The sequence below is a fragment of the Homo sapiens genome, chromosome 1, assembly GCF_000001405.40.
Source record: "Homo sapiens chromosome 1, GRCh38.p14 Primary Assembly".
Taxonomy (NCBI): Eukaryota; Metazoa; Chordata; class Mammalia; order Primates; family Hominidae; genus Homo; species Homo sapiens.
The window spans coordinates 233904420-233917288 of NC_000001.11; the positions used below are offsets into that span (position 1 = coordinate 233904420).

General features: G+C 45.2%; 1 protein-coding gene across 1 annotated transcript in view; it reads left to right on the forward strand.

Annotated features, from left to right (window-relative positions):
• Nucleotides 1-256: 256 nt before the first annotated feature.
• SLC35F3 (solute carrier family 35 member F3) overlaps nucleotides 257-12869 on the forward strand; it is a 419836-nt gene continuing 407223 nt past the window's right edge. The window contains exons 1-2 of the mRNA NM_173508.4: nucleotides 257-711; nucleotides 1110-1339. Coding sequence (NP_775779.1) covers nucleotides 659-711; nucleotides 1110-1339 — 283 coding nt within the window. The 5' untranslated portion in view covers nucleotides 257-658. The remainder of the gene's footprint in view (nucleotides 712-1109; nucleotides 1340-12869) is intronic.

Genomic DNA, 12869 nt, shown 5'->3' on the forward strand with positions numbered 1-12869 from the left:
AGAGAGACAGACATATACATAGAGAGAGAGAGAGAGAGAGAGAGAGAGAGAGAGAGAGAGAGTGTGAGAGAGAGAGAGAAAAGTACTGAACTGGGAGCGGCAGGGTTTGAGTCAAAAGAGAAGGGTGGAGGAGCGCGTCCGGTGCCCCAAGGCTTCCAGGCGGAGCGCGGGCGCGAGGTGCGGGCTCCGGGGCGGAGCGCACGCCCGGGAGGCGGGAAGTGGGCAGCAGCGCCCCCGCCTGGCCCCTGTGCGCCCCGACCCGACGCCTCCCCGCCCGACCAGGTGCCTCGAGAGCGCACAGCTGGGAGGGCTCTCCCGGTCGCGGCGAGACTCACGCCTGCGGTGTGCTAGGGCGGCGGCGACGGTGACGGGCGTGGGGCGCGGCGCTGCCTCGGCTGCCGGGTCGTTGCGGCGAGCGCGCGGGCCGGCCTGGAGTCACCGGGCTGAACCGCCGCGCCTGCATCGTGCCGCACGCCGCGGAGGCGCTCGGGTACAGACCGCGCGGGCGCGCACAAAGCGGCCCGGGGCGGCCGGCGCGGCGCAGACCCTCGGTGGGCAGCGCACTCCAGTCTTCCCAGGCTAGCGGCTGCAGGGAGCTCCGGCCCGCGGCCCCTCCGCCTCAAGTCTGGGAGCTGCCGGTCCCACTCTGTCTTTGCCTATGGGGATTCGAGAGTTTCCCAGCGGCGCACCCAGGGGCAAGAGCATTGCCGTGTGAGTAGCGCCCCGGGCGTGGGTGAGCGAGCCGGCGGGCGGGAGGCCGGAGCGCCGGGGTAGCCCTTTGCAGCTGGGACACTGGGCAGTCTGAGGCTCGGGGAAGGGCGGCGCGCGCGGTGGAGCTGCTCGGGAAGTTTCAGTCATTCTTTCCCTCGCCACTCGCCCCAACCCGCACTGCCCCGAGACGCCCAGGATAGGGCACTGGGGACAGCTGCCCGGGGAAGTGGGTGAGTGGCGGCGGGAAGGGAGGAGCGCGGGCTCTGCCGCGGCGCTCGCCCCCGGAGGGCCCCGGCCGCGCTCTTGCTCTCGCCCTGGGATCTGCTCCTCACGAATCCCCTCCTCTCTGTCCATGCTCCCCCTGCCCACCCACCTGCCCGTGGCGCCTGCGACCGCAGTGGCATGAGGAGGTCACCGGACGTCAGCCCCCGGAGACTGTCCGACATCAGCCCCCAGCTCCGGCAGCTCAAGTACTTGGTGGTGGACGAGGCGATTAAGGAGGATCTGAAATGGTCGCGCTCCGTGGAGGATCTCACCAGCGGGCCGGTGGGGCTCACGTCCATCGAGGAGCGGATCCTGCGCATCACTGGCTACTATGGCTACCAGCCCTGGGCAGCGAGCTGCAAAAGTAAGACCCCCTCACGTCATGTTTCCCGTTCACTGGTCCATCTTCTTACCATTGTCACAGCAGCCTCGGGGAGCGCACGCAGTGAGGCGTCCAGCCACCCCCTCCCGCCCTGCCTGCTGATACAGACCCAGGTTTGCAACTTCGAGGAAGAGGCCCGGAGACGGAGTTCTCCTGGACCTCTGAGGCGTTCTGATGCGTTCTCTTACACCCCTTCCTCTCCCACACACAGGATCTCTCTGTATCCTTATCTCTCCACTGCCAAATACGGAGGACACTCCTATGTGGCAGACCGTGGGAAACAGATCAGAAACTCAAAGTATCCCGGACAGTGTGGCTTCCCCGCGGATCTGAAAGTCTCACAGGGCCCTCGGTCAGGTCTCACCAGGCTCAGATGGAGATGCTGACTTACATAGCCAGGATTTTAACTCTTCCTTGCATCTCCTAGCCCTGATGATAGAGGACAATTCTTGGGGTCTTCATTTTGGATGCCGTTCACGCCCTTCTCCCCTGGATTTTATCGGTCTTCAGTAAGGAGGTTCTATAGGGATCATTCTAGATAGTGGTGTTGGTCCCTGCAAGTTGAATGTTTGGTGTCAGGTGGAGAAGCTGAAATGTTTTTCTTTCCGTGGGTCCTAGCTAATGGCTTTGAGGATGCTGTGATCAATTAGACAGACATTATCTTATGTCACCAGGACTAATTTGGTGGACATTTCTTTTTCTCACTTTGCAAGAGAGAGGTTGATTATGATGAAATCCAGATATCTATAAATATAACCATAATTAGGTGGTCTCATCACTGTAGTTTGACATAAGAGATTGCCATTTGCCACCTCAGTCCGTATGAGAAATGGGCCTTGACGTCTTTCATTTGTAATAAAGACTAGATTAATAGCTTGTTGATTTTGAGTTTTTTTCGACCTTTTATTGCTTAAAATTGAAACATTATTTATTGGTCTTTAAGGGGAAAACGGGCGTTTGTAATTTAATCATATTCATCACTAAAAAAAAATGTCTATCTTTAGATTATTCCTAAAACCTGCGAGTCCAAGGCAAAGGTCAGTGGTATGCTAGCAGTTAGCTGGTTAGTTTAAAATTATTTGCAGGAAGAAACAGGATTTGAATGTTTTGTTTTCATGCAACTTGCTTTTAAAAGACTGTGTTTCATTGGGTATAAGCCTTTAAAAAAATTGTCTGTATCTCTTCCAATCTCTTGCCTCTGCTGCTAAAATTGTAGCTTATTACAAAAGGAAGACAAGGGGCCAAATTCTCTTTTTGGTTGAAAAACCCTGGGCATGGGATAACAAAAATTAAACCCCATTGGAAACCATATTTCTTATGGGCATGGATAGAACGCTCAAGTTTTACTTCTGCTTTCTAAATTTCTATTAGAAAATAGCAATTTTCTATTCTTATTTCCATTTTCTGCTTCCTTAATAACAAAAGACAGTGGTATAAATGACAGCCTTCATAAAGTCATCTCTTTGGTGCTTGAAGTCATAAAAAGGTTTTATCTTTATAAATCTATTTGTGACTGGCTGTATGTGCTTTGTGGAAGTTATCACCAAGGTTTGTGATTTGGGGGCTTGCCAGAGAGCTTACAGCAGTGATGACTGTTTGGTACAACATGTTTTGTAATTAAGACAAGAGAAGGGCCATGTGGAAATGGAGTCCCTTGCATCACTGGAGGTAATTCTTAAATGCCTCTCTCTGAGGCTTCACTGGAAGAGTAAATAGTAGCAGGGAAGGCTACAGTGATCATTGAAATATGAATAAAATCAGCTCATTCCACTCTCTCTATTCCTGTGAGGATTCTTCTTTATTCCAAGGTATTTCCTTGTTACTATAACGCTTTAGGTGACAACTGACATTTTGGTGAATTAATTAGGTGTAATGTTTAAATTTAGAGAAGGTAATGTTTTATTAATGTATTAATGCAGCAAAAGAGGTTGTCTTTTTGTTTTTTTTTTCTTTGTTTTTTGAGAGGGAGTCTCACTCTGTCACCCAGGCTGGAGTGTAGAGTGCAGTGGCATGATCTTGGCTCACTGCAACCTCCACCTCCTGAGTTCAAGTGATTCTCCTGCCTCAGCCTCCTGCGTAGCTGGGATTACAGGCGTGCGCCACCACATCCTGCTAATTTTTGTATTTTTAGTAGAGATGAGGTTTCACTATGTTGGCCAGGCTGGTCTTGAACTCCTGACCTCAGGTTATCCACCCACCTTGGCCTCCCAAAGTGCTGGGATTATAGGCGTGAGCCACCACGCCCGGCCCAGAAGAGGTTTTAAGGCAGAACTTTTGCTGTTTGCCATTTCTACTCAATTGATAATAATAAAGAGGCTTATCTATTACCTGTAGGTATCACCTAGTTGCTTTATTTGTTGGTTGGTAATTGTACTCTATAAATGGGGAGAGATGATGGTTACAAAAAAAACAAAACAAAGACAAAAAAAAAAAATTCTCATGATCTCCAGAGTGAGTTATGGAAGCTCCAAGCTATTATGTCACCTTTCAGTCATCTTTCAAAGTGATTTATCTGTGTCCTAACTGAAGGAGTTGCCAGTGAAAGTTTCTGGATGTAAGTCATTTGCCCTTGTAGCAGAAGAAACCATTTGAATGACCCAATATTCATTTGTATCCTCTTCATTTTTAGATTTTGTTTGGGTTGTTAAGATAAATGAGGTAATTGTGAACAGTACAGAAATTACCTTTGCTCAGTATTCTCAACTCAGTCATTTGGATTCGCAAGTTTCGCTCTAGACAAGAGAATTTTGTAAAGGATTCTTTTTTTTTTTTTTTTTTTTTTTTTGACAGAGTCTTATTCTGTCACCCAGGCTGGAGTGCAATGGTGCAATCTCGGCTCACTGCAACTTCCACCTCCCGGGTTCAAGCGATTCTCCTGCTTCAGCCTTCTGAGTAGCTGGGACTAGCACCACCATGCCTGGCTAATTTTTTGTATTTTTAGTAAAGATGGGGTTTCACCATGTTGGCCAGGCTGGTCTCGAACTCCTGATCTCATGATCTGCCCACCTCGGCCTCCCAAAGTGCTGGAATTACAGTCGTGAGCCACCGTGCCTGGCTTAAAATTTGCCCAGCTTCCCCAAATAATAGTATTTTTTTTTAGAAGGAGTTTTGCTCTGTCGCCCAGGCTAGAGTGCAGTGGCACAATCTCAGCTCACTGCAACCTCTGCCTCACAGGTTCAAGCGATTCTCCTACCTCAGCTTCCTCCTGAGTAGCTGGGACTACAGGCACCCACCACCATGCCCGGCTAATTTTTGTATTTTTAGTAGAGACAGGGTTTCACCATGTTGGTCAGGCTGGTCTCGAACTCCTGATCTTGTGATCTGCCCTCCTCGGCCTCCCAAAGTAATGGGATTACAGGCATGAGCCACCGCACCCAGCCTAGGATTCTTTTTTAAAAATCCCAAAGGCTCCTGGGTCTGAAAGGGATGGCTTTTGTGAAACATTCAACTGAGAATTAAACTGTAAACAAGGAAGTAAGAAGGGCCCAGTTCCTCTTCTCAGTGGCAAAAGTCCTCCAAGCTCCACATTCCATGTTTTTGAACCAAACCACTTGGCAGTATTCCTGGGAATTCTTCAAATTATCATCTGTTGAGTGGATCCAGGGCCCAGAAAGCACCTGGGCCACAGGAGGGACTCAATAAATATTTGTTGAATGAATGGATGGCTGCTGCACGAAATACTGACCTCTGGGACAGGGAGCTTTGAATATGCCTCTGTAGTGATTTGTATCATTTACCTCTTTATGCTGACTTCCTGTTATGTGGAATTGCTCTACTCTTTCCTAGTTCTTCCATCACAAGTGCTTCCTGAACCACAGACTGGACCAGAATTCTTGGTGATAAGCTTTGGTTTGGCCCAGGGTTTCTTGATCTCAGCACTATTAACCCTTTGTGCTGTATAAGTATTTGTTGTAGGGAGCTGTCATGTACATTGTAGGATGTTTAGCAGTATCTCTGACCTCTGCCTATTAGATGTCAGTAGCTTACCACCCTGCCCCCTAAGTTGTAGCAACTCAGTATCCCATGGGGGGCAGCCTTTAGTTGAGACCCACTCATTTAGGGTAACCCCCAAATTTATGCTGCAATAGAACTCTCTTCTGTTGCCCAGTAATGCTAAACAAGCAGGCCTACCTTACAAATTCCTGACCCTCTCCTTCCTCACCTTTCTTCCTGGACCACTTTTTAGGTTTTCAGGATGGCCAGATCGAGTAATCATCACCACTGGCAGTGCAAGTGTCTTCTGAAGATTTGAAAGAGCCTGTTCCTTCTGCAGCTGGCATGATTCCACAACCAATCATCATAAATTGACACCCTGTAGGAAGTGCTTTAGAATTCAGGAGACTCTGAACAGTTTCTTTTAATAACTTCCTTTTCTTTCCTACCTTTTGCCCCAGTAGAAGAGAAATGACTGATTAGAATATCTTCTGCTTCCTTTTCCTTTCTCATTTCTCTGGGATGGACACCAATTAGGGAGGAGATGGCTAGAGAAGGGATGAGGAGAATCAAAGACCAGGAAAAATCTGTATAGTAGACAGCCAGCCCCAGGCATCTGATAGGGTGGGACAGCTGGTGGCATTTCCATACAGGAATGATTGAAGGAACATATCTTGGAGTTTCCAGATAGAGGCTCTGCTGCAGGATGAAGGAACATCTGCGAATACTCCTTTATTTTCATTTATTCATTTAAAAAACCTTTTTTCAGCAGTCAGTGTATGTCAGAATAGAGAGAGAAGTGCTGGAAGAGGTGGCTCACTGTCCAGGTGTGCCTTCGTCTAGAAATACAGGTCAACACAAACCTGCATTAGAACACAGACATTCTAAGGGTGGGCAGGATGTTTCCCTTTCCGAAAGGTTTCCCTAAAGGATGTTTTCAAATATTGAACTCTTAAATCCTTTTCTGGGTAAAAAGTCCCCAAAACATTTTACGAATAGCTTTTTTGAAGGGGGTCATGCTTATTGCTTAACATGAAGTGCAATTATCATTTGAGTAGGTTTATACACTTTGTTGAACGTCAACTATTATTCACTACAGGTTCTGGTATGTTGAGATTTAAATGCTTTTTTCCAGAATGTGAATGGAATGAGTTTTAAGTCATTTGTAGAATGGAGAGAGGGTCAGTCTTAAAAGACCAACTGTCTCTAGCCCACTCCAGCCCGCTATTGGCAACGTGAACCTGGGACAGGAACATGCAGGTTAATGAACAAATCCCAGCTTATCTGGGTGGAGGTTTTCTAGTTCAAGCTGAAAAAATGTAGGGCACTGAATAACACACCTGGTGACAAGGAAATTGCATGTTTCAGGATTCTCCAGGTTTAAAAGTTGTAAAGGGTTTGTATGAGGTGAGGGGGAAGGGCTCATGGAAAGGCTGTCTTCCTAGCGTCCCTGTTAGTTCACCCTGAACTGTGAGTATATGTTGCTGGCGTAGATACCGGTGCTAAATGGAACAGTGACTTATAGTATCATTGAATTCATGGTGAGCAACTTCTGTCTGATCCTCCTAAAATAGTAAAGGTCAGGTCAGCAATTCAAAAATGACCCACTTGTAAGAGATGTATAATTTGGTTGTAAAAGTTTATTCTAGAATGGAGCTTGGCATATGAAATATGAGATGGAGAAGATTTTAAAAGAAAAGAGTTAGAGGGCTTGAGGGGGTGGTGAGTTGAGCATTAGAGCACAGCATTTTTTATTGGGTCAGAGAATTAATTTTATTCTTAAATATGCTAACAATTTAGTAAATAGTTTCTGAGTTTTGATGTAATGAAAATGCAGAACTATTATCTTTTAAGGAAACGAGGTGACCCCAGCTCACTTAGATCATTGCCATGGGGTTATAAACCCTTCGCATCTGCCATGGGGTTAGAAATCCCTCGTGCCTATTAATGTGCCTTTATTTTCATTTGTTCATTTAGCAAACTTTTAAAGCATTTACTATGTGCCAGAATACAGAGATAAGTGATGGGAGACACAGTCCTCACCCTAAAAGCTTTCCAACTAGAGCAGGTGAAATCTGAAGTACGCATATGGTGGTGATGGGGAAATGGCCTCACCTCCAGGGAAGTGAAGTCTTCCAGGCTTTAGGGAGACGTGGGCAAGGAGAGTTCTCCCTGCTCTTCAGAAGTCCCTCCTGGATCTCATTAAAAAGAGTCTAGTCTAGTCTAAAACTCTCCAGCTTTGAGCCTTGGTCCTTTCCTTAAGCAGCTGGAAACATTCAGGTTAGTTGCATTCAAACATAAATCCACATGCAAATGCACCATTGATGTTTGTTAAGCATTTTACTGTAAGCTGTTAGGGATGCTCTGGCCCTGCAGCCCTGAGGGGTGTCCACTTAGTTTTTTTAATGTCTGGAGGAGCAGAGGAAATAGAATTCACATCCCAGCTTCATAGCTATATGACAAGTTCACTGCTATGAGCCTCTAGTTTCGCCGTGCGCGGTGGCTCATGCCTGTAATCTCAATGCTTTGGGAGGCCAAGGCGGGTGAATCACGAGGTCAGGAGTTCAATACCAGCCTGGCCAAGATGGTGAAACCCCGTCTCTACTAAAAATACAAAAATTAGACCGGCATGGTGGTGGGCACCTGTAATCCCAGCTTCTCGGGAGGCTGAGGCAGAGAATTGCTTGAATCCGGGAGGCGGAGGTTGCAGTGAGCCGAGATCGTGCCACTGCACTCCATCCTGGGCGACAGAGTGAGACTCCATCACAAAAACAAACAAACAAAGAAACAAACAAACAAAAAAAACGAAAAGGAGATAATAGAACTACTTTCTAGGATTGTCGTGAAGATTAAATGAAATACAGTAGTCCCGCTTTATCGGAGGGAGAATGCATTCCAGGCCCCCCAGTGGATACTGTGGATAGTACTGAACCCAATATACACTATTTTTTCTTATATAGTAGTGAGCAGGTGGCGTAGACAGCGTGGATACGCTGGACAAAGGGATGATTCACATCCTGGGTGGGATGAAGTGGGAAGGTTCAAGATTTCATCATGCAACTCAAAATGGCACACAATTCAAAACTTGTGATATGTTTGTTTCTGGAATTTTCCTTTTAGTATTTTCAGACCATAGTTGACCAAGGATAACTGAAACCATGGGAAGCAAAACCATGGAAAAGGGAGGACTCTTCCAATGTCTGTACAGCTGGCATCTATTAATGCACCTTTATATCCATTTAGCAAATCTTTTGAGCATTTACTTTGTGCCAGAATGCAGAGATTAGTGATGGCAGACACAGTCCTTGCCCTAAAAGCTTACTTACTGGAGTAGGTAAAATCTGAAGTGTTTATATGGTGTGATAAAGATCAGTTTGCAGTGCCTGGGGAGCCCTTTCTCATATCAGTGAGTTCATTCTTCAGCTGGAGGAGTCATTCACAACAGAAATAGAGGGGAGGTTTGCATTCCAAGCAAAGGGACAACATATGCACGGGAATGTAGTCAGCTATTGCTAGACGGTAATTCCGCTTGATTAGAACATCATGGGGCAGGAGTGTCGTGTATGAAGTTGGACTTGTGAGCAGAAACAGACTACAGTACATTACAGTACCAGTCATCTGATGCCTGTCACCTTCCTCATCCAGGTCCCAGCCTAAGTGTCACCTCCTCCCAAGAGCCTTTACTGATTACAGGAGGTGCTCTTGCATCTCCTATAGTGTTGTCACTTCTTTTACATAGTCACGACTAGTTTAAGAATGTGGCTGAAGCTGTTGCAGATAGAAAGCTCTCTAGGGGCAGGGCTTGTTATTGTGTCTCCACCCCTCACTGTGGTCTTGGCACATAGAACTCTGGTGATTCTTCCACAGTGCACAGAGTATCTCGATCAATAAACATTTGTTAAATGTACTTATTAAAGGCCTAAGTGGCCGTTTCCTCAGGCACATACACAAATGGCTCCTAAGTAAGCATCTACATTTCTGTAGGGTCGTCCAGAATTATCCTGCATAGAAACACTTCTAATTGCATTCCTCTGTCAAGAAATGGGACTTCTGTTGCTGGTTCTCTTCAGTCTTCACTTTAACCCTGCTAAAAACACTGACAAGTAATCGCACTCCTAGAACTTACATTATCCAGTCTTATATTGGGGTGTTCTGTCCAGTTTTGGTAACTTTAAAAATGATGTGGAAAAAATGAACAGGGCCCAGGGAAATACAGAAAATGTATTGATGGAATCAAATATGTGTTCTACAGGCAAGGTTAAAGGATTAGGGGAGGAGGAAATTAGGGAAGAACGTGACATGTCTTCATGAGAACCATCAGAGCAGGCACCTTTGGAATGGCTTCCCAGCTCAAGACCCCTTAACTGCCCTGTACTACATCCTCCGTTTGGGCCCTTAGCAGCCAGACTGACATCATCTTCCTCCTGGGCCGTGTAGATTAGACCAGGGGTAGACTCCTGATCCATGCTAACTCACTCAGCTCCTCTCTCCTCCAATTCGAGATTAACACCAGAAAGTTGGGGTCTAGTCTGACAGAGCGGTCTATTGAGTGGAGGAGGCTAGTCTGTCTCCCATATGGATAGAGAGGCAGAGAAAGCTAGTCTACATAAAAGAAGGCAGCGGCAGGTGTGTCAAGTAACCCAGAGAGAGCAGTGGTGGTTTCCAGGACTCCATGCTGGGGCCTGTTTCCCTCCTACATCAATGTCTTGCTGCAGCTCCTCCTCCAAGCCCCTGAGACACCACTGTTGCAAAGCAACAGCCTTCTTCCTGCTAAGTGAGCAGAAACCAGGTTCTGTTGTGTGCAACTACAGGCTCCTTTCTGGATAGGATTTCAGAGCCATTTCCATTCAAGCTCGTGCATGACAAAATAAGGATCTACATACCAATGAAGTTTCAACTGGAAATACAAAATCACTTTCTGACTACTAAGATCATAAAGAAGGTCAGGAAGCCTCAGTCACTGGAGAGATTCACAAAGATGTGGACACCCAGTCACTTGAGCTGGATGAAGTACTTACTTGTCCCACAGCAGGAGGATGAACCATATTTCTTTTTTTTTTGTACATGATGTCTTTTGGTTCAAAGCAGTGGTGAATGTGCATTGATTAATAGAGCAGGGAACCAGTTTTGTTTCATTATCTTACTGCACAGCCTAGAAAGGGACTTGTGCAGTTAGGAACCTGGCAAATTCTTCTGGTGGATGATGGTGGCAAGCACTGAAACAATTGCCTAGGACATGGGCACAGATTTTTCTTTCATGCAGCTTAATTTATGACAGCATTTGAGATTGGAGGAAACGAATTGCTCTCCTCAGGTGATTTGCAGTGTTAAAGGCTACAGGCTGTTTTGAACTCCTCAAACAGAGATATTCAGTGCAACTGCTCAGAACAGTTTTCTGGTTTTGAGAAATGTTTTCTGTGACATTCAAATTTTCTCCTTGTCAATCTGCTATCTACCATTTCCAGTGCTTGACCAGATCAGGATCTATCAGGAAACTATTTTTATCCTTCTTCACCATCTACTTGTAACAATGTACTGTTATAAAAATTCAGGTCTATCCTCAAAGTTTTATTCAAAAGGGTCAGAAGAAAAATGTTTCTTAGTGTATGTCAATTTCGCTACCTTACTTTCTTTTCAGAAATTGAGTCAGCTCATTTTTGATGAATGTATATTAAGATGTCCTGTTCTTAGCCAGCAATGGTGGTGCGCACGTGTAGTCCCAGCTACTCTGGAGGCTGAGGTGGGAGGATCACTTGAGTCCAGGATCTCAAGGCTGCAGTGACGTATGTATGATTGCACCACTGCATTCCAGCCTGGGTGATAGAGCAAATTCTTGTTTTTTTTTAAAAAAGTCCCTTGTTTCTAAAAGAAAAAAAGGAATAGAATGATGATGGCAGGTGTATTAGTCTGTTTCACGCTGCTAATAAAGACATATCTGAGATTGGGCAATTTACAAAAGGAAGAGGTTTAATTGGACTTACAGTTCCACGTGGCTGGGGAAGCCTCACAATCATGGTGGAAGGCAAGGAGGAGCAAGTCACATCTTACATGGATGGCTGCAGGCAAAGAGAGAGAGAGCTTGTTCAGAGGAACTCCTCTTTTTAAAACCATCAGATCTCATGAGACTTATTCACTATCATGAGAACAACATGGGAAAGACCTGCCTCCATGATTCAATTATCTCCCGCCAGGTCCCTCCCACAACATGTGGGAATTCAAGATGAGATTTGGGTGGGGACACAGCCAAACCAGATCAGTAGGTATGGGACAGTTGGGTTTTGTGCAGCATTCTGTTCATGCTGTGCACGTGTGGGAGTTTAATAAACATTTTCCATGGCAAAAGTGCATTACACTGGTGTGAGTACTAAGGAAGAACTGAAGTCCCTTCCTATATACTTTCTTTTCTTTAAATAATTGGCCAGATAAAATATAGTTTGAAGACTTTTAAATGCCATATTCCAGAACAACTAATTTCAAAGGTTTATTCAAACACTTTTACTTTAAGTCGACATTTTGTTTTATTAACTATTAAATGTAAAAATATTTCATTTACTTATTTATTTATTTTTATTTTTAGAGGCAAGGCCTAGCTCTGTTGCCCAGCCTGGAGTGCAGTGGCACAATCATCGCTCACTGCAGCCTCTAACTCCTGGGCTCAAGCAATCCTCCCGCCTCAGCCTCTTGAGTAGCTGGGACTATAGGCTTGCACCACCACATCTGGCTAACTTTTTAAAAAACCTTTGTAGAGACCAGGGCCTCACTATGTTGCCCATGCTTATCTCAGACTCCTGGCCTCAAGCAGTCCTCTCACTTTAGCCTTCCAAAGTATAAACTTCTTTTATAGGTTTATCTGATTTAGCAGTGGGTACGATTTCAAAGTTACGTGTAAATAAAGTATATGTAATTACGATTAATTGTAAAAATCCTCAGAAAACATAGTACTGGTGTATAAGAAAATGTGTTTGTTCTATCCGCAACTGACATTGTATCTGGTGATTGTCTCTCAATACGTTGGAGAGTTCCTATGTGGTGGCTGGAAGGTGGAAGAAGGAATATTTTTCAGCAGGACACACCACCACCATGTGGTCCCTCTTTAGAAGCCCATGGACGAGGCCGAGGCTTCAGAAAATCACTACATGAAATTTCAGACACTATTCATGGAGGAATTCATTTGTGAATGGGTTGGAAGCAGATGAAACAAAGGAACCAACTGTTGAATGTAAATTCATTTATTTGTTAATCTATTTATTCAGTGATTCATTCCTTCTTCATTCAGTCATCAAATAATCCACGATCTCTAAAACACGGCAAATGTATTAGCTCCTCAGGGAAGTATATACTAAATATATGGTATGGTTGTTATTTCCTAGAAAATAACATAGTGGGATTACAAGACATATACATCTCGATCCGTCAGTTGGATTGGATTGGCTCCATGCCATACTTTCTTTGTCTTGGAGCCCTCTCACAGGTCCCGTAAATGTCTCTTTTTGCTCCTTCTCTAAATATCTTGGGAGTATTTTCAATCAACAATGACCAGCCTTAAACTAAACTCTATATTATGTACATAATTTTGCAT